General features: G+C 46.6%; 3 annotated features.

The window, feature by feature from the left end:
* Nucleotides 2,222-2,271: an enhancer, noted in NCBI's record as "active region_9125". NCBI's record gives its function as "activates an Ori minimal core promoter by ATAC-STARR-seq in GM12878 lymphoblastoid cells {active_cell/tissue: GM12878}" and the evidence as "EXISTENCE:reporter gene assay evidence [ECO:0000049][PMID:35858748]".
* Nucleotides 9,203-9,428: a silencer, noted in NCBI's record as "fragment chr14:105381788-105382013 (GRCh37/hg19 assembly coordinates)". NCBI's record gives its function as "represses an EF-1alpha promoter that drives an FKBP-Casp9 reporter gene in an ReSE screen in K562 erythroleukemia cells {active_cell/tissue: K562}" and the evidence as "EXISTENCE:reporter gene assay evidence [ECO:0000049][PMID:32094911]".
* Nucleotides 18,126-18,749: an enhancer, noted in NCBI's record as "H3K27ac-H3K4me1 hESC enhancer chr14:105372467-105373090 (GRCh37/hg19 assembly coordinates)". NCBI's record gives its function as "activates a minimal SCP1, AML or CMV promoter by ChIP-STARR-seq in naive H9 embryonic stem cells {active_cell/tissue: H9 hESC(naive)}" and the evidence as "EXISTENCE:reporter gene assay evidence [ECO:0000049][PMID:30033119]".

Genomic DNA, 21,379 nt, shown 5'->3' with positions numbered 1-21,379 from the left:
GCAGCTCACCTCCTCCTCTCTGCAGCTGGCTCCTTCCCCTTCCAGCTACTTCCTCTTTGTCCTGAGAGGCCCCCTCTCATCTGAGACAGAAACAGACGGCTGGAGCTGGGTGGGCGGGCTAGAGGGTAGGGCTGAGAACCTTCACCTCCAGGAAAAATCTACACCCCACTCCCTCGAGGTAGAGGCCCTCCAGTTGCGGGCCTACGAATCGGAGTCAAGTTCAGCTGCAGGCCACAGACACCTAAGGAACAGTGGCTTCAGCAAGGTTGTTCATTACTCTCGAACACTAAGCAGGTCCAGGGGCTGGCAGGCTAGAGACGGCCTTGCTAGAGATGATGGCATTGCTCCACTGCCATTGGGAGCCAGGCTCTCAGATCCCAGTCCCTAGGATCCCTGCCTTCATGGCCTCACAGTGGCTGCTGGAACTCAGCCATTGCCTCTGTGTTCTTAGCAGAGAATAAGGGACATCCCAGAGGAGACTTCCTGGAAGTCCCACAGGGCACTTCCACTTATCTGTGATCTGGAACTTGATCTAGAACTTAGTCACATGGCTACACTTAGCTGCAAGGGAGGCTGAGCAATGGAGGTAACTAGGGTCTTTATCTTGGAGAACGAAGCTGGGGCTGCTCACTGGCATATCTGAAAAGGTGGGCCTGGCTAGAAGCTCCTAGCAAGGGGCTCTGCCTCCCACTGCCCCACCCCCCGACTGGGGTCCCTGAGTAAGGTCTGGGACCTTGAGAACACTCCTACTTTCAATGAGGTCTGGGTGTCCACCCTGGCTCCTCCTTGTAAGGCCTATGTAGGGCAGGGGTCCAGGGTGATGGCCTCAGGGTGCCTGCAGGACACCAGTCAGGAGGGTGCAGTTCCCAAGGGTGGGGCCTGTCAGCTGCACCCCTGGGGCCAGTCTGGGTGGGCCAGGAAGTGAATGGGGAAGAGATCCATCCTCTCCCTAGCCCCTCCCAGATCTCTCTTCACCTTCCTGATGCTCTGATTTGGCCTTGGGTTCAGCCCTTACCTCCCGGCCATGGTTGGGGAGCCCCAGCCCTCTGGCTGGGTTGCTGGATGCCTGAATGCAGCTGGGCCCCAGGCATGCCCCCGAGGGTTGGGTCCTCCAGGGACTCTGGGTGAGGGTTACTCTGGGTATGGGGAGGGGCAGCCAGGTGGGTCCTGCTGTGACATTTGCAGGGCTGGGGCATGAGTATGAAGGGAGGCTGCCTTCCCTGCACTCAAGCAAAAGGCAGTTAGACAGAACAGGTTCTCTTCTGTCTTTTTTTTTTTCTTTTTCCTTTGAGAGAAGTCTCGCTCTTGTACCCCAGGTTTGAGTGCAACGGCTTTATCTCGGCTCACTGCAACTTCTGCCTCCCGAGTTCATACGATTCTCCTGCCTCTGTCTCCCAAGTAGCTGGGATTAAGGCACGTGCCACCACGCCCGGCTAATTTTTGTATTTTTTATTAGAGACGGGGTTTCACCATGTTGGCCAGGCTGGTCTCGAACTCCTGAACTCAGATGATCCACCCGCCTCGGCCTCCCAAAGTGCTGGGATTACAGGCGTGAACCACAGCGCCCAGTCTCTTCTGTCTGGACAACAATGGTGTGTGAGGGCCTGGAAGGCCAGGGGCAAGTGGAGGACCCCAGGGCTCCTTGGAGCACTCTCAGAAGTCCTTGCAGGAGGGCCAGCCCCAGCCAGTCCCCTCTCCGATTTCCCCACATTGTGAGGGGCCTCAATGAGCCCACATGCTACACCCAGCCCGTGGGTCTGAGCTCATTGCAGCCCCAGAAAAGCACCACGTCACCTCCCCTGGCTGCCCCTCAGGCCAGCAGGACTGGGTACAGCTCAGGCAGCTCTACCTCGGGAGGATGGATCCAGGCTTGGGGATGTTTAAGCAAGGAATCCTGGGCCTTGGGCTCAGGGTTCGGTGGACTGTCCTCTTGGCCTCTCAGGCTGCTTACCCTGGAAGAAAGATTGAGGCTGGAAGGGGCGTCTAGATTCGGGACCCAGGGCAGGCCTCTCAGTGGCTCCGAGGCTGGCTGTGTGGCCAGGAACGACCTGAGGGCAGCTCCTTGCCGGCTCTGCTCCCTGCGCTGCAGGCCCCACCCTGAGGTCTAGGGCCCTTTGGTCCCATGGGGTGTGGGGAGGGACTTTGGGGATTTCCCATGAAGCAAAACTTTTTTTTTTTTTGAGATGGAGTCTTGCTCTGTCGCCCAGGCTGGAGTGTAGTGGCGCCATCTCGGCTCACTGCAAGCTCCGCCTCCCAGGTTCAGGCCATTCTCCTGCCTCAGCCTCCAGAGTAGCTGGGACTACAGGCGCCCGCCACCATGCCCAGCTAATTTTTTGTATTTTTAGTAGAGACGGGGTTTCACCGTGTTAGCCAGGATGGTCTCAATCTCCTGACCTCGTGATCCACCCGCCTCAGGCTCCCAAAGTGCTGAGATTACAGGCATGAGCCACCGTGCCCAGCTAGTGCATATGTGTTTCTAGTTATTATATCTTCCTTATGGATCACCCTCTTATCATTATAACACATCCTTCTTTGTCTCTAACAATAATTTTTGTCTTAATATCTATATTTTCTGATATTAGTATAGGAACTCCACCTCTCTTTGAGTTGCTGTTTGAATGTTATATCTTTTCCTGTCATTTTACTTTTTTTTTTTTTGGACGGAGTCTCGCTCTGTCGCCCAGGCTGGAGTGCAGTGGTGTGATCTTGGCTCACTGCAAGCTCTGCCTCCCAGGTTCACGCCATTCTCCTGCCTCAGCCTCCCGAGTAGCTGGGACTACAGGTGCCCGCCACCACGCCCAGCTAATTTTTTGTATTTTTAGTAGAGACGGGGTTTCACCGTGTTAGCCAGGATGGTCTCAATCTCCTGACCTCGTGATCTGCCTGCCTCGGCCTCCCAAAGTGCTGGGATTACAGGTGTGAGCCACCGTGCCCAGCCTGAACATTTTTTCTTTAATTTCCTTTGTTATTTCAAAAATTAACTTTGTGGGAAAATATGACTCATTATTTGTCAGCAGAGCTAAGTTTTTTGTTTTTTTTTTTTTTGTTTTTTTTTGTTTTTTACCCCAAATAAGTACAGACTGTCAGAGCAGGCTTGTGGGAGCACTTAAACCCCACCGTAAGCACATCAGACACACCTCACCTCATGGTGGAGCTATGTCCTGATAAGCCCATCATAAATGGAAGCTGAAAATATTCTAAGTTGATAATGAAGAAAAAAAGAGAGACAACCCAAATAACCAAAACCAGAAACAAAAAAGAGACATTACAACTGATATCACAGAAATACAAAAGATCACCAGAGACTACATGAGAAATTATACACTCAGAAACTGGAAACCTGGAGGAAATGGAGACATCCCTGGACACGCGTAGCTGCCGAGATTGAATCAGGAAGAAACAAAAAAACCCGAACAGATCAATAAGGAGTGATGAGATTGGAACAGTAATAAAAATCTCCCAACAACAACGCAAAAGGCCTATAGACCAGATGGCTTTACTACTAAATTCTACCAAACTTACAAAAAAGAACTAATACCATTTCTCCTTAAACTGTTCCAAAAAACTGAAGAGGAGGGAATTCTCTCTGACCCATTCTATGAGGCCAGCATTATCCTGATACTCAAACCAGGCAGGGACACAACAACAAAAAAGAAAACTACAGGTCAATATTCCTGATGAATAGATACACAAAAATCCTCAACAACATACTAGCAAATTGAATCTAATAGCACATTGAAAGATAATACATTATGACTAAGTGGGATTTATCCTGGGGATGCAAGGATGGTTCAACATACGCAAATCAATACATGCAATACGTCAAATCACAGATTAAAGGACAAAAACCGTATGGTCATCTCAATAGATACAGAGAAAGCATGTGATAAAATTCGACATCCCTTCTTCATGATAAAAACTCCCAGCAGGCTGGGCAAGGTGACTCACGCCTGCAATCCCAGAGTTTTGGGAGGCCAAGGTGAGAGAATCACTCCAGACCAGGAGTTTGAGACCAGCCTGCACAATACAGTGAGACCCTGTTGCTAAAAAAATTTTTTTTAATGTGACCAGGTGCAGTAGCTCATAATCCCAGCATTTTGGAAGGCCGAGGTGGGCAGATCACTTGAGTCTAGGAGTTTGAGACTAGCCTGGCCAACTTGATGAAACCCTGTCTCTACTAAAAATACAAAATTAGCCAGGCATGGTGGCGCATGCCTGTAGTCCCAGCTACTTGGGAGACTGATGCAGAAGAATCACTTGAACCCAGGAGGCAGAGGTTGCAGTGAGCCAATATGATGCCACTGCACTCCAGTCTGGGTGACAGAGCAAGACACTGTTTAAAAAATAAATAGGCCGGGCACGGTGGCTCACGCCTGTAATCCCAGCACTTTGGGAGGCCAAAGTGGGCGGATCTCTTGAGGTCAGGAGTTTGAGAACAGCCTGGCCAACATGGCAAAACCCTGTCTCTACTAAAAATACAAAAAATTAGGTGGGCGTGGTGGCAGGCGCCTGTAATCCCAGCTACTCGGGAGGCTGAGGCAGGAGAATCGCTTGAACCCGGGAGGCTGAGGTTGCAGTGAGTCGAGATTGTGCCATTGCACTCCAGCTTGGCAACAAGAGCGAAACTCAGTCTTGAAAAAACAAATCAGGCAAAAGATCTGAATAGACATTTCTCAAGAGACATACAAATGGCCAACAGGCATACGAGAAAAATCTCAGTATCACTAGTCATCAGGGAAATGCAGATCAAAACCACAATGAGATATCATCTCACCCCAGTTAGAATTGGTGTTATCAAGAAGACAAAAAATAAATGCTGACAAGGATGCCAAGAAAAGGGAACACTTATGCTCTGTTGGTGGGAATGTAAATTAGTGAAGCCATTGTGGAGAACTGTATGGAAGTTTCTCAAAAAACTAAAAACAGAACTACCATACGATCCAGCAATCCCACTACTGAGTATTTATCCAAAGGAAAGGAAATCAGTATATGAAAGGGATTCTTGTACTCCCATGCTTACTGCGGCACTACTCACGGTAGCCAAGATATGGAATCAACCTAACTGTCTATCAATGGATGAATGGATAAAGAAAATGTGATATATATATACACACACACACAATGGAATACTGTTTGGTCATAAAAAGAATGAAATCTTGTCATTTGCAGCAACGTGAATGGAACTGGAGGTCATTATGTTAAGAGAAATAGGCCAGTCACAGAAAGACAAACATCACATGTTCTCACTCACACATGGGAGTGAAAAAAGTTGACCTCTGAGGCAGAGAAGAGAACGATAGATCCCAGAGTCTAGGAAGGGTGCGTGGGTATGTGAGAAACAAACTCACCCATCCAAACCCAAAGAATGGACTTAGAGACCCGGAGAAAAGCCAAAGTGAAACTTTTAATGACAGTCTTGCAAGATCGGGTGTCTGGTGGGCAGGCACACCCAGCACAGTTTCAACAAGCAATTTATCCCCTCGTGTGCAGGTCCCTCCCCCGGTTCCTCATAGGCTGAGTACTATGGGGTCACAACCTTCCTGGACGTCACCTATTGGTTGTTGGGCAGGGGCTTTAGGTGTTTTCTTTAGAGTTGTCTTGCTGCATTTTGTTGCAGCCCACAATGCATTGCAATCCTAGTTAGCTCAGGGGCTCTTCAAGTATTTGACTTATGACCTAAGTAGCTGGGCAGGCTGATACGAACAGACAAGGCAAGCTATTTTACAGGCTAGCAAACTTTTATCTTAGACCAAACTTCTTTGGTTTGGGTGAGGGCAACTTAAGTAGGTGGCGGGAGGGTGGGTGACAAGCAGGCATTGGCTATCCAACCCAGGGCCTAGTATATCCTGCTTCTTCTGTAGTTTGCTGACCTAAGCCGATTTAAGGCACTTTGTCTTGAAAATGGACCACTGTATACATTATTTCCTTCCAGTGGAGGGGGAGGACAAAAAGAGGATGCTTAATGAGCACAAATGCACTCATTATGGTGCGATGGAAGGAATATGTCTAATGTTTGATAGCAGAGTAGGGTAGCTATAGTTGACAACAATGTATTGTTTATTTCAAAAGAGCTGGAAGAGAGGACTTGGAATATTCCCAACACATAAAAATGACAAAGACTTGAAGTGATGGACACCCTAAATACTGAGTTAATCATGACGCATGCTATGCATGTAATAAAAGCTTACATGCACCCCGTGAATATGTACAAAAATTATGTATCAATTAAGAATATATCATGTCAAAAATGCAGGCTGGGTGAGGTGGCTCACGCCTGTAATCCCAACAGTTTGGGAGGCTGAGGTGGGCAGATCACTGGAGCCCAGGAGTTCAAGACCAGCCTGGGCAATATGGCAAAACCCTGTGTCTACAAAAAATACAAAACTTAGCTGGGCATGTTGGCGTGTGCCTGTGGTCTCAGCTACTCCGTAGACTGAGGCACGAGAATCCCTTGAATCCGGGAGGCAGAGGTTGCAGTGAGCCAAGATTGCATCACTGAACTCCAGCCTGGGCAATAGAACAAGACTCTGTCTCAAAAGAAAATGCATTATGCATTTAATACCCCTAACTTACTGAACATCATAGCATAGCCTGACCTTAAACGTGATCAGAACACTTGCAGACATTTCTTTTTGTTGTTGTTGTTGTTGAGATGGAGTCTTGTTCTGTTGCCCAGGGTGGAGTTTGGTGATGCAATCTTGGCTCACTGCAACCTCTGCCTCCCAGATTCAAGGGATTATCATGCCTCAGCCTACGGAGTAGCTGGGACCACAGGCAAGCGCCACCATGCCTGGCTAAGTTTTGTATTTTTAGTAGACATGGGGTTTCACCACGTTTGTCAGGCTGGTCTTGAACTCCTGACATTGTGATCTGCCCTCCTTGGCCTCCCAAAGTGCTGGGATTACAGGAGTGAGCCACGGCACCTGGCCAACTTACAGATATTTCTGAGAAGAAGATATACAAAGGCCGGGCTTGGTAGCTCACGCCTGTAATCCCAGCACTTTGGGAGGCCAAGGCGGATGGATCACCTGAGGTCAGGAGTTTGAGACCAGCCTGACCAATATGGTGTACCCCTGTCTCTACTAAAAATACAAAAATTAGCCGGGCATGGTGGCAGGTGCTTCTAGTCCCAGCTACTCAGGAGGCTGAGGCAGGAGAATCTCTTGAACCCGGGAGGCGGAGGTTGCAGTGAGCTGAGATGGCACCACTGCACTCCAGCCTGGGCAACAGAGTGAGACTCTGTCTCAAAAAAAACACAAAAACCAAAAAAACATGGCTAACAGGCATATGATTTCACCCTAGAGTTGGGCAAAATCACCTAACACAAAGCCCACTTTATAATAAAGTGTCAATACCTTGTGTAACTTATTGAATACTACACTGAAAGTGAAAAACAGAATGGTTGTGTGGGTGCTCAAAGCATGGTTTCTACTGAAGGTGTGTCACTTTTGCACCACGATAAAGTTGAAAGATCATTAACTCGAATTGTCCTAAGATGGGACCATCTGTACTTGAATCGTGGGGAGTGCCGCTTTCATGAAAGGAAGCGTCCACTGATGCGGCAAACTTCATTGTTGTCTTATTTAAGAAACTGCCACAGCCACTCCAGCCTTCAGCAAGTACCACCCTATCAGTCAGCAGCCATCAACACTGAGGCGAGACCCTCACCGGCAAAAAGATTACAACTCCCCCAAGGCTCAGATGATTATTAGCATTTTTTAGCAATAAGATATTTTAAAATTAAGGTACGTACAGTTTTTTTTCAACTTAATGGTATTGTACACTTACTAGACTACGTAAAGTATAAAGATAACTTTTGTATGCACTGGAAAGCTGAAACATTTATGTGACATTGCAGCGGCCTGGAATTGAGTCGGCAATACTTGCAACATATGTGTAGTTCTTGCTGGCGAGGCAGGAGAAAAGCTTGAATCTTTCTCTCTAATTACCAATTTTCAGGGTAAGGGGTTTGTGCAATGGGCTGTCTCTGATGGTGGCAGATGAGTTTTTGTTTGCTTTTTGCTTTAGTTTTCTTTCTTTGACTTTTTGATGTATCATTATGGACTCACGGATTATTATATATTTAATGTGTTTTGATCCAGTTCAGTCATCATTCTTTGGTCAGTGGGAGCTCTTTCATCATTTTTGCTGGAAAATTTAAAAGTAATGGGCAGAGATAAATGATATTTTACCTCTAAATACTTGAGTATGCATTTCTGAATAAAGAAGGAAAGCTTCCTGCATAATCACAGCTTCATTACCCCACTAACAAAATCCATCATTCTGGCCACTATATTCTTTTTTCATATTTCCAATAATCTATGCATCTTAATTCAGCTGCTTTCTGCCACAACAAGATCTTCCAGCCTTATCTTATTACACATTTCCTGCACCAGACCTGGACTCAGCTACTTACTGAGGAGTCCATGGGTCTTTAAAGTGGGGAAATGGCATTTAGAAACCCAGGTTAAATCATGAGTTCCTATTGATAGTTCCAATTCAAATTTAACATTAAAAATTTTCCTTAGGCTGGGAACAATGGCTTACGCCTGTAATCCCAGCACTTTGGGAGGCCAAGGTGGGTAGATCGCTTGAGCTCAAGAGTTTGAGAGCAGCCTGGGAAACATAGCAAAACCTCATTTCTACAAAAAATACAAAAAATTAGTTGGGTGTGGTGGTGCACACCTGTAGTCCCACCTATGTGGGAGTTTGAGGTAGGAGGATTGCTTGAGCCCATGAGGTCTAGGCTGCAGTGAGTCGAGATGGCACCACTGCACTCCAGCCTTGGTGACAGAGCAGAGACCATGTCTCAAAAAAAAAAAAAAAAAAAAAAGAGTTTTTCTTAATTTCTTTGGTTTTGTACTTGTATGTCATTTCTCTTATATGGAAAATTTTGGCTCCTAACAACTTTAATGTAATTACTAGCTTTAGCTTACCCTATATTTAACATGTTTTCAAAATAACAATTCCAATATCTCTACAGCCAGTAATACTAGTAAGAGAAATTTAAGATTTCTTTGCAAGTTTTTTTTTCTTTTGCTGTTATCTAAGTGTGTAAAGCCAAATACTCTGCTCTAAAGGCCCCCCTGTTTTTTCACATTGAGGTGTTGTCTACACCTGGAACTGATTGCTTTGGAAGGCTGGAGGCAGAGTTCCATTTCACTTCTTTTCCTCGTGGGTATTTAAGACTATTCCGTCTTCCTCCAACAGATATGTCTGGCCAGCTCTGACGAACTCAAGTCGCCACATGTGCGGGTCTTTGTCCCGGTTCTCTTTCCCATTCCGTTGATCCGTTTCTCTCCGTGCTGTGTTGTTCTATATTCATTATCACAGCTTTGTTCTGAGGTGCGCGGTCTGATGAGCAAGTCTCTCCCTTCTTTAGAAGCACCATGTGCTTTTGGGGCAACCATTGAGATGACAATATGGTTTTTCTCCTTTAATATGTGAATGGAATGACTTAGACATTTTCTAAAATTAAATTAACCTTGGATTCCTGGAATAATCCCAACTGAACCAAAATATCATACACAGTTTGAAACTTGGACAACACAGGTTTGACTTGCATGGGTCCCCTTACACGCAAACTTTCTTCTGCCTCTGCCATTCCTAACACAGCAAGACCAAGCCCTCCTCTTCCTCCTCCTCCTCAGCCTACTCATTGTGAACACGACGAGAATGGAGACCTTTAGGATGATCCACTTCCACTTAATGAAGTGCAAATATATTTTCTCTTTCTTATGATTTTCTTAATAATATTATGTTCTTTCTTCTAGCTTACTTGATTGTAAGAATATAGCATATAATAAAGACAACATAAGATATGTGTTAATCAACTGTTTGTGTGATCTGTAAGGCTTCTGGTCAACAGTAGGCTACTAGTCATCAACTTGGGGGGAGTCAAAAGTTATACGTAGATTTTTGACTGTGTGTTGGGGGTGCAGTGGTTAACGGTACTTTTTATACATTTTTGAGATTGGATAGGGCAATAATTATATAGGATTTTTCATCCGTGCCCAAGAGTGTGCTTTTTCTTTTGTGGTACACACTTGTCCTGTCTTTGTATTGAGATTATGATAGAGTCCTACAGTGAACTAGGTCATGTGCCCACTTTTGCCTACATTTTGAAGTTTGTAAAATGGGATAAAATATTCTTTTTAATTTTGGCAGAACATGTAAAATTGTCTTAGATTTTTGACATCTTTGTGGGAAGATTTTAACTTCTTAATTTCTTCTAGGATTATAGGACTCTTTGGGCTTTCTGTTTCTCTATGAATCAAACTTGGCAAATAATGTTTTTCTAGAAATGGTCCATTTTGTGTAATTTTCCAAGTTGCCTTGCTGTGAGATCACTCATGTTGCCCTCTGCTGCATTGTAGAGCAGCCCTCCTCTCATTTCTCAGTAGGGTTTTGTGCCTCTTGCCGGTCTTTCCCTTCAGAGATCTTGTGGCCATTTCATTAATTTTTTCAAGAAATCAAATTTATATATGTTAGTTCTGCTTTTAGTTCTAATTTAGTTTTAGATATTTTTAGTTCTAGTTTTGTTTTGTTTTTCATTTATTTATGTTTCACCTTTATCTTCATCCTTCTACTTTCTTAGTATATTCCTATTGTCATTTTTAGACTTCCTTCAGTTGGATGCTTAACATTTTTGTTTGTTTGTTTCTTTTTGAGACAAGAGTCTCGCTGTGTGGCCCAGGCTGGAGTGAAGTGGCACGATCTTGGCTCATTGCAACCTTTGCCTCCTGGGTTCAAGCAATTCTCCTGCCTCAGCCTCCTGAGTAGTTGGGATTACAGCCCTGCGCCACCATGCCCGGCTAATTGTTGTGTTTTAGTAGAGACAGGATTTCACCGTGTTGGCCAGGCTGGTGTCAAACTCCTGACCTCATGATCCGCCCACCTTGGCCTCCCAAAGTGCTGGGATTACAGGCATGAGCCACCGTGCCCGGCCGGATGCTTAACTTTTTAATTTTCAGCTGCTCTTCTTTACTAATGTAAGTGTGTCAGGGATACATTATTATTTAGTTCTAAATATTTTACGTTTTCTTTCATTCATGAATGATTTAGAAATCTGTTATAAGGTTTCCAGATGTATTTTAACACTCTTCCTCAGTGAGTGATTGAGAGTTGAATTACATTTGGCTGAGAGAGTGAAGTCATATGACACTGGGTTTTGAAGTGTGTTAAGCCCTGCCTTATGTCTAAGCGTGTGCTCATTGTCCTAAGTGGGTTTTGAAGTGTGTTAAGCCCTGCCTTATGTCTAAGCATGTGCTCATTGTCATAAGTGGGTTTTGAAGTGTGTTAAGCCCTGCCTTATGTCTAAGCGTGTGCTGATTGTTGTAAGTGCTCCACACGTACCAGAGCATAATGTGTCCTCTCTAACGGTCACGTCTAGATATGGCTTTAAATCCAGCTCGCGAAATGTGCTATTGGAATCTTATTCACCTTTTATTAATGTTTTATCCGCTTGACCTGGCAGTCACTGAGAGAGTTGTGTTGAAATCTTCTTTTATGATAGAATTATCAATTTCTACTTGCAGTCTTCTTCATTTTTTCCCCATACTTATGGCTGTTTTCAGGTACATACATGTTTTGAATCTTTACATCCTCTGAACAATACTATTCATTATTATATACCGGCCTTCTTTTCCCTAATTATGGTTTTTGTCTTAAAATATATTTTTTTGAAAATCAATTTAGTGCTGGGCATGGTGGCTCACACCTGTAATCCCAGCACTTTGGCAGGCCAAGGCAGGTGGATCACCTGAGGTTGGGAGTTCGAGGCTAGCCTGACCAACATGGAGAAACCCCCGTCTCTACTAAAAATACAAAATTAGCACAGCGTGGTGCCGCACACCTGTAATCCTAGCTACTCGGGAGGCTGAGGCAGGAGAATCACTTGAACCCAGGAGACGGAGGTTGCGGTGAGCCGAGATTGCACCGTTGCACTCCAGCCTGGGCAACAAGAACAAAACTCTGTCTCAAAAAAAAAAAAGAGAATATTAGTTTAGCCACATCAGCTTTCTTTTTATTAATACTTGCCTGACCATAGCACTTGTAATATTATTATTTTAAACTCCATAAATTAAATGTTTATAAGGATGATATATTTAACTACTATAATTATATATTTGTCTAACTAGATATTATTTATCTAGTGAGAGTGTGTTTAGAATTATCCACTTTTAATGATTTCCTTTTAAAAATACTTTTATTTATTTATTTATTTTTTGAGACAGAGTCTCACTCTGTAGCCCAAGCTGGAGTGCAGTGGCATAACTCAGCTCATTGTAATCTCTGCCTCCTGGGCTCAAGCAATTCTCATGCCTCAGCCTCCTGAGTAGCTGGGACTCCAGGTGCACGCCACCATGCCTAGCTAATTTTTTTGTATTTTAGTAGGGGTGGGGCTTCACCATGTTGCCCAGGGTGGTCTCGAATTCCTGAGCTGAGGCGATCCACCCATCTTGGCCTCCGAAAGTGCTGGCATTACAGGTGTGAGCCACAGTGCCCAGCCACTTTTAGCAATTTCTTTATTCACTATTCCTTCTTTGACTTCAGCCTCTCCCTCTGTGATCATTGTCCTTCTTCCTGAAATATATCCTTTAAAGTCTACTTGAATATTAGTTTAGCTGGGTATAAAATTTTGGGTTGTCAATTGTTTTCCTTGAGTCAAGATGTGTTGGTAAACTCTTAGTTGTTATGTAACATAAAAATATTTCTAATTTTCCTTTAGTATTGAAAGATCATTTTTCTGGGTATAGAATTACAGATTGACAATTATTTTCTCTGGAAACTTTGAGGTCTTTAGGGTCCCATTGTTAAGAAATCCACCACCATTCATTTTCATTTTGGAGACAAAGTCTCACTCTGTCGCCCAGGCTGGAGTGCAAATGGCATGATCTTGGCTCATTGCAACCTCCACCTCCCAGGTTCAAGTGATTCTTCCACCTCAGCCTTCCAAATAGCTGGGTTTACAGGTGCACACTACCACACCCAGCTAATTTTTGTATTTTTACTAGAGACGGGGTTTTGCCATATTGGCCAGGCTGGTCTCAAACTCCTGACCTCAGGTGATCCACCCACCGCTGCCTCCCAAAGTGCTGGCTGGGATTACAGGTGTGAGCCACCATGCCTGGCCACCACCATTCTTTTGTAGAGAATCCTTCTTTACTATTGTGGCTGTTTTAAACAAATTTTATTATCTACAGTATTCCTCAATGTTACTGTGATGTAACTGTGTAGTTTTACTTTCATTTATTCTGTTTGGCTTCCCTTATGTTTTTGTATCTTCTGTGGATATATGTTGTATTCATTTCTAGGGTTGCTGTAGTGAAGTTCACAAACTGAGTAGTTTATGCAACAGAAATGTATTGTCTCACAGTTCCAGAGGCTGGAAGTCCAAACTCAAGGTGTCGGCAAGGTTAATTCCTTCTGAGGCTGTGAGGGAGGATCCTGTGGCTCTCTCATAATTTCTGGTAGCCCCAGGTGTTCTTTAGCTTATAGATGAAATTCTCCCTGTGTCTTCATGCCTTCCCTCTGTACATGTCTGTCTCAAATTTCCCCTACCATAAGGCATCAGTCACATGGGATTAGGGTTGTCAATAAAAAGAGTCAAATTCTGTAAACTATTTGAAGAGATTTATTCTGAGCCAAATATGAGTGCCTAATGGCCTGTGACACAGCCCCAGCAGATCCTGAGACATGTTTCCAAGGTGGTCGGGCTACAGCTTGGTTTTATACATTTTAGGGAGGCATAAGACATCAATCAATACATGTAAGATGTACATCGGTTTGGTCTGGAAAGGTGGGACAACTTGAAGTGGGGGCTTCGAGGTCAGAGATGGATTCAAGGATTTTCTGGTTGCCAGTTGGTTGAAAGAGTTAATATAGGCCAGGCATGGTGGCTCGCACCCGTAATCCCAGCACTTTTGGAGGCCAAGTTTGGAGGATCACCTGAGGTTAGGAGTTCAAGACCAGCCTGGCCAACATGATGAAACCCCATTTCTACTAAAAATACAAAAATTCGCCAGGCATGGTGGCACATGCCTGTAATCCCAGCTACACCAGAGGCTGAGGTGGGAGAATCGCTGGAACCTGGGAGGTGGAGGTTGCAGTGGGCCGAGATCACACCACTGCACTCCAGGCTGGGCAACAGAGCAAGACTTCATCTCAAAAAAAAAAAAAGAAAAAAAAGAGTTATCTAAAGACCTGGAATCAATAGAAGGGGGTGTCTAGGTTAAGATAACGGTTGTAGAGACCAGGGTTCTTACTATGCAGATGAAGCCTTCCAGGTAGCAGACTTCAGAGAGAATGGATTGCAGATGTTTCTTATCAGACTTCAATAGTCTGTTCTATCAGTCCTAATTTTAATCTTTCTGTTGAAATGTTAATGCTGGTCAGCTGTGCCAGAATTCCAAAGGGAAGAGGGTATAATGAAGCATCTGACCCCTAATTCGCATCATGGCCTGAGCTAGTCTTTTAGGTTAACTTTGGAATGCCCTTTGCTGAGGGGGGGATCCATCAGTCAGTCGGGAGCTTAGGTTTTTATTTTTGGTTTACCGGATCTCCCCCAATTACTTCATCTTACCTTGATCATCTGTAAAGGCTCTATTTCCAAATAAGGCCACATTCACAGGCACTGGGCATCAGGACTTTAACATCTTTTGAGAGACAATTTCATCCATGGTATGTGTCTTTCCCAGTTCTGGAAAATTCTGGCCTGATCTCTTTGAATATTTCCTGTGTCTCATCCTTTCGACTCCCTCATTCAGAAACTCCAGATAGATGTATGTTATATGTTGTCACGCAGTCTTCTATGCCTATTAACATGTCTTTCACATTTTCTATTCCCACCATGTTCCTGTGTATTGCATTTTGGGTAATTTCTTCTCATCTTTCTTACAGTTGACTAATTCTTGTTTTAACTGTGTCTAATCTGCTGTTTAACTCTTTCATTGAGGTTTTGAAAGATCTTTATTTTCAGTCATTATAGTTTTCCATGTGATGTTTTTCTGACTCTGGCTGTATCCCATGCTCTTTTGTTCCTTTTGCATCTTCCAGTACTGTGTCCATCTGTCATTTTTTGCTGGTGTTGCTGCTTGATAACTTTTGGGCCGGGGACAGTGGCTCACGCCTGTAATCCCAGCACTTTAGGAGGCCAAGGCAGGCGGATCATGAGGTCAGGAGATCAAGACCATCCTGGCTAACACGGTGAAACCCTGTCTCTACTAAAAATACAAAAAATTAGCCGGGCGTGGTGGCAGGTGCCTGTAGTCCCAGCTACTCGGGAGGCTGAGGCAGGAGAATGGCGTGAACCTGGGAGGCAGAGCTTGCAGTGAGCCAAGATCACACCACTGCATTCCGGCCTGCATGACACAGTGATACTCTGTCTCAAAAAAAAAAAAAAACACAAACAAACAAAAAAAAAACAACTTTTGATGTGAGCTCATATTTGCCAGGCTTTGCTGCATGGGAGCATTGAGGGCCCTGGATTGGAGATGCTTGCCTTTCTGCTTCTGCAGGGGTCACCATCAACCCACAAAACTTTGAATGAATTTCTCTAATTCTTTACTTACAGATTCTAATTTTTTTTTTTTTGAGACAGGGTCTCACTCTGTCACCCAGACTGGAGTGCAATGGTATGATCACGGCTCACTGCAGCCTCAACCTCCCAGGCTCAAATGATCCTCCTGTCTCAGCCTCCTGTGTCACTGGGGCCACAGGTGTGTGCCACCACAGCCAGGTAATTTTTATATTTTTTGGTAGAGGCAGGGTTTCGTCATGTCACCCAGGCTGGTCTCAAACTCCTGGGCTCAAGCAATCTGCCTGCTTCAGCCTCCCAAAGTGCTGGGATGACAGGTGTGAGCCACTGCACCTGGCCTACTTAGATTCTTTAATGGTCAGCTGTAACATAAATGTCAACCCTGAGACCACGTGAAACAAGGGGAGACTGAAGAGAGATACACCCAGGTGGGCTGAGGTCTCACTTTCATCTCTGCCTGTAGCTTGGTAAGACGCTGGTTCAACAGTTCCAAATGAGGCTAATAAGAGAACAAGTTGATATTAAGTCCTGAGATCCAGAAGCTCCCCTTGATAATGAGGCCACTGCATGGCCAGGCAGCACCTGCTGTTCCAGGGTCTCCCACACGTTCACTTCTCCCTTTCCCTTTGAGAGTGCAGAACTTTTCAGGGCTGTGGTCCTTCTCCCTGCTTTAATCATGTTACCTTAGGGGAGGAATGGTAGGACCAGCTGCAGATGAGGAGACAGAACAGGAAAGCTTAAAGGTTTTATCATACTTGCTGGTTCCTGGGAACCTACAATACAGCTGACAGAAAAGAACCCATTATCTTTCTGTGCTGTTAGTGGCTACGTTTATATTTGTAACATGATACTTGACTTTCAGAAGTCTAGACTTCATCTCTCCACCCTTTTGAACAGCAAAAAGGGCTCAGAATGTTTTGCTCCAACTGCTTCCTGAGGGATGCTGGCTTTTATTCCTTAGTATTTTAGTTTTACCTTTTGGTATAAACTTTCATAGCCATTATAACTTTTTAACATTCAATGATTATTTAGATTTACCACATATTTACCAGTTTCTTTACTCACTATTTCTTCTTGCATGCCCCAACTTCCTTCTGAATTCTGAATTAAAGGGTTTTTTCTTCCTAAAGTTTATTATCCTTAAGTGATTCTTTCATCATGGCTCTAACAGTGGTAAATTGCCAGGTTTTATTGTCTGAAAATAGCTATTCCTCCTTCACTTTTTTCTTTTTTTAGGAAACAAGGTCTTACTCTGTTGCCCAAGCTGTAGTACAGTGGTGTGATCCCGGCTCAGCACAGCCTTGACCTCCAGGCTCAAGCCATCCTTCCACCTCAGCCTCCTGAGTGGCTGGGACTACAGACACACACCACAATGTCCAGCTAATTTTTTTATTCTTTGTAGAGACAAGGTCTCACTACGTTGCCCAGGCTGGTTTGGAACTCCTGGGCTCAAGTGATCCTCCCATCTTGGCCTCCCAAAGTGCTGGGATTATAGGCATGTGTCACTGTGCCCTGCTCCCTCCTTCACTCTTGAATAATACTTAAGTTGGGTATTGGTTGTTATATTCTTACAATTTGAAGATACTGACTTCTGAAACATAATGTGGCTGTGGAGAAATATGCACCAAGCTAATTGTTGTTCCTTTGAAAACAGTTTCTCTTATCTCTGTTTGCTTTTAAGGTTTTCTCTTTGTCTTTGGAGTTCTGCAGTTTCAACATGCTGTGTTCAGGTTAGATTTATTCTTATGCATTCTCCTTGGGACTCGTGCAGCTTAAACTTAAGGATTTATGCTTTTGGTTATTTCTGTAAGGATCTCAGCCATTATCTCTTTGAATATCGACTCCTCTTATTTCTTTATCCTCATCCTGTAAAACTCATTAAATAGATTTTCATTCTATCTTCCATGCCTCATAATCTCCTTTGACATTTTACATGTCTTCATCCCATTCCTGCATCTGCCTAATTTCTGATGATCAACCTTCCCATTTGCAAGTTGTTTCTTCAGCTCTGTTAATTAGTTGGTCAACTTTCCCTGAGGTTTCAATTTCTCACTGTGGAATTTTCCTTCTCACCCACAGTCAGGGGATAGACAAGTTTCCTTGCCTGTTCACTGGAGCCACAAGTCAAGTTTATCTGGCCCCTTTCCCTGCCCTTTGAACACACATCTCGGAGCAGGATTCTCAATGTCATCTCTCCCCTCTCCTAGCATAAGGCCTCATCCCCTGACCGGGTGGCTGGAACATCTCGGGTGCTTAGCCAGTAGGGCTATTTCTGGGCCCATAAACGTCCCAGAGATACTGCAGTGTCAGCTCCCTGACCATCCTGGCTCATGGTTCCCACCTGCAGCGACAGCTCCCTGCGCGTCCTGGCTCTCGGTTCCCACCTGCAGCGTCAGCTCCCTGCCCGTCCTGGCTCGCGGTTCCCACCTGCAGCGACAGCTCCCTGCCCGTCCTGGCTCATGGTTCCCACCTGCAGCGACAGCTCCCTGCGCGTCCTGGCTCTCGGTTCCCACCTGCAGGGTCAGCTCCCTGCCCTGCCCGTCCCGGCTCGCGGTTCCCACCTGCAGCGACAGCTCCCTGGGCTTCCTGGCTCTCGGTTCCCACCTGCAGTGTCAGCTCCCTGACCATCCTGGCTCTCGGTTCCCACCTGCAGCGTCAGCTCCCTGCCCGTCCTGGCTCGCGGTTCCCACCTGCAGCGACAGCTCCCTGCCCGTCCTGGCTCATGGTTCCCACCTGCAGCGACAGCTCCCTGCGCGTCCTGGCTCTCGGTTCCCACCTGCAGGGTCAGCTCCCTGCCCTGCCCGTCCCGGCTCGCGGTTCCCACCTGCAGCGACAGCTCCCTGGGCTTCCTGGCTCTCGGTTCCCACCTGCAGCGACAGCTCCCTGCGCGTCCTGGCTCTCGGTTCCCACCTGCAGCGTCAGCTCCCTGCCCGTCCTGGCTCGCGGTTCCCACCTGCAGCGACAGCTCCCTGCCCGTCCTGGCTGATGGTTCCCACCTGCAGCGACAGCTCCCTGCGCGTCCTGGCTCTCAGTTCCCACTTGCAGCGTCAGCTCCCTGCCCGTCCTGGCTCGCGGTTCCCACCTGCAGCGTCAGCTCCCTGCCCGTCCTGGCTGATGGTTCCCACCTGCAGCGACAGCTCCCTGCGCGTCCTGGCTCTCGGTTCCCACCTGCAGCGTCAGCTCCCTGCGCGTCCTGGCTCGCGGTTCCCACCTGCAGCGTCAGCTCCCTGCCCGTCCTGGCTGATGGTTCCCACCTGCAGCGACAGCTCCCTGCGCGTCCTGGCTCTCGGTTCCCACTTGCAGCGTCAGCTCCCTGCCCGTCCTGGCTCGCGGTTCCCACCTGCAGCGTCAGCTCCCTGCCCGTCCTGGCTGATGGTTCCCACCTGCAGCGACAGCTCCCTGCGCGTCCTGGCTCTCGGTTCCCACCTGCAGCGTCAGCTCCCTGCCCGTCCTGGCTGACGGTTCCCACCTGCAGCGACAGCTCCCTGCCCGTCCTGGCTCGCGGTTCCCACCTGCAGCGACAGCTCCCTGCGCATCCTGGCTGATGGTTCCCACCTGCAGCGACAGCTCCCTGCCCGTCCTGGCTGACGGTTCCCACCTGCAGCGACAGCTCCCTGCCCGTCCTGGCTCTCGGTTCCCACCTGCAGCGTCAGCTCCCTGCCCGTCCTGGCTCGCGGTTCCCACCTGCAGCGACAGCTCCCTGCGCGTCCTGGCTCTCGGTTCCCACCTGCAGCGTCAGCTCCCTGCGCGTCCTGGCTCTCGGTTCCCACCTGCAGCGTCAGCTCCCTGCCCGTCCTGGCTGATGGTTCCCACCTGCAGCGACAGCTCCCTGTGCGTCCTGGCTGATGGTTCCCACCTGCAGCGACAGCTCCCTGCGCGTCCTGGCTGATGGTTCCCACCTGCAGCGACAGCTCCCTGCCCGTCCTGGCTCGCGGTTCCCACCTGCAGCGACAGCTCCCTGCCCGTCCTGGCTCGCGGTTCCCACCTGCAGCGTCAGCTCCCTGCCCGTCCTGGCTCGCGGTTCCCACCTGCAGCGACAGCTCCCTGCGCGTCCTGGCTCTCGGTTCCCACCTGCAGCGTCAGCTCCCTGCGCGTCCTGGCTCTCGGTTCCCACCTGCAGCGTCAGCTCCCTGCGCGTCCTGGCTCGCGGTTCCCACTCCATTTCTGGCATATGGGGATTTCCCTTTCTTGCCTATAATGATGTCTAATTTTGATTTTACTTTTAGCTGACAATTCTAGCTGTTTCAAGGGGTAGAGATTAAGCAGTGAGGGTGAGGGGCTGAGAAGTTGGGCAGAGGATGGTTGCTAAGAGGCAGAAAAGACATGCGTAATAGATTCTGGCAAACTCACAAGTCTCAGGAGATAGACGTTGGCTCTCAACCCTGCCAGGACCACCAGGATTGGGGTGGAAATTATTCAGAGAATAGAGGATCTGAGAAGAGAGCCGGACTTCCTGTGCTGGTTTTCCTCTTGAGGCAGTGGCTAATTCTCACCCGACATGAGAGTCACGTTCACCTCAGCTAAGAGGCTGAGCATTGAGTGGTTGAAGAGTTCAGTGAAACTTCACTCTATTATGGCTCGGGGGAAGCAAAATTGAGCCCAGGACTTCCTTCAAAGGAGGAGGGAGGAGGGAGGTACTGCTAAACTCTCCTGGCTTGCAGTTGAGACCCCAGAGGGGTGTGCCCTAGAAGCACGACAAAGAGGTAAATCAGAGGGCAAACAAGAGGTGGAACCAGACTTACCATGTCTACAGCCTGTCCTAGACAGCTCAGTCATGACTTGACTGGTGATCTGTCCCTGCTTTGTGGCAGAGGACAGGGCGGGTCCTCTCTGATGGCCACAATATCATCCAGAGATTGTACTTTTTTTCCACAGTGTCTGTCGTTTTAAACCAAGAGTCACCAGACACATTAAAAAATATATAGACCCAAGTGTAAAAGCAGGGGATGAAACTGTTGGAGCTTTGAAGTGACTCTGATGACTGCTCTGAGAAATAAGCGGCGAGATGGAAATTTTCACTAGAGAAATGAAATCTTGAAAAAATCAAATAGAAACTCTAGAACTAAGAATACAATAACCAAGGTAAAGACTGTGACAGATGGGTTAACAGACTGTTAGTGGACAGAACTCAAGAGAGGATTAACAAGCACCGATTGAGGTCAGCAGCCGACAGAAGACTGAAGCACGCAGAGAAAACTGCACGGAACATAGCATCAGAGACACACAGGGTGCCGTCAACAGGCCTACCACATCTGTCACTCAAATCCAAGAAGGGAGATTGCAAATGGGGCAGAACAATATCTGAAGAGAAAATGAGTGCAACTTTTCCAAAACCAATGAAAGACATACCAATTGCGTATGCAAGAAGTGCTACACATTTCAAGATAGAGAAATACAAAGATACTCCTAAGCACATTGTAGTAAAACCACTGAAAACCCACTAACTAGGAGAAAAGCAGTAACAGGAGGTGGGGCACAGTGGCTCACGCCTGTAATCCCAACACTTTGGGAGGCCGAGACAGGAGGATCCTGTCTCTACAAAAATAAAAATAAATTAAACAAATAACAGCCAGGAAAAAACAAGATGCCACCTTCAAAGAAGCAATAATGAGGCTCTTGACTTCTCCACGTAAGCACTGAAAGCCAGAAGACAATGGAACAACATTCTCTAAGTACCAAGAGAAAATAACTGCCAACTTGGGATGCTATTTCAAGTGAAAGGGAAAGGCAAAACAAAAACATTTTCAGACACCCTCCCCAGTGAATTGAGAGAATTCCTTACAGCAAACATGCACTAATAAACAAGACAAATCACAATGGAGGCCTTTGGAAAATGGTCCT

The sequence above is a fragment of the Homo sapiens genome, chromosome 14 (genome assembly GCF_000001405.40).
Source record: "Homo sapiens chromosome 14, GRCh38.p14 Primary Assembly".
NCBI classification, from domain to species: Eukaryota; Metazoa; Chordata; class Mammalia; order Primates; family Hominidae; genus Homo; species Homo sapiens.
This window is presented reverse-complemented; position numbering and strand designations above follow the sequence as displayed.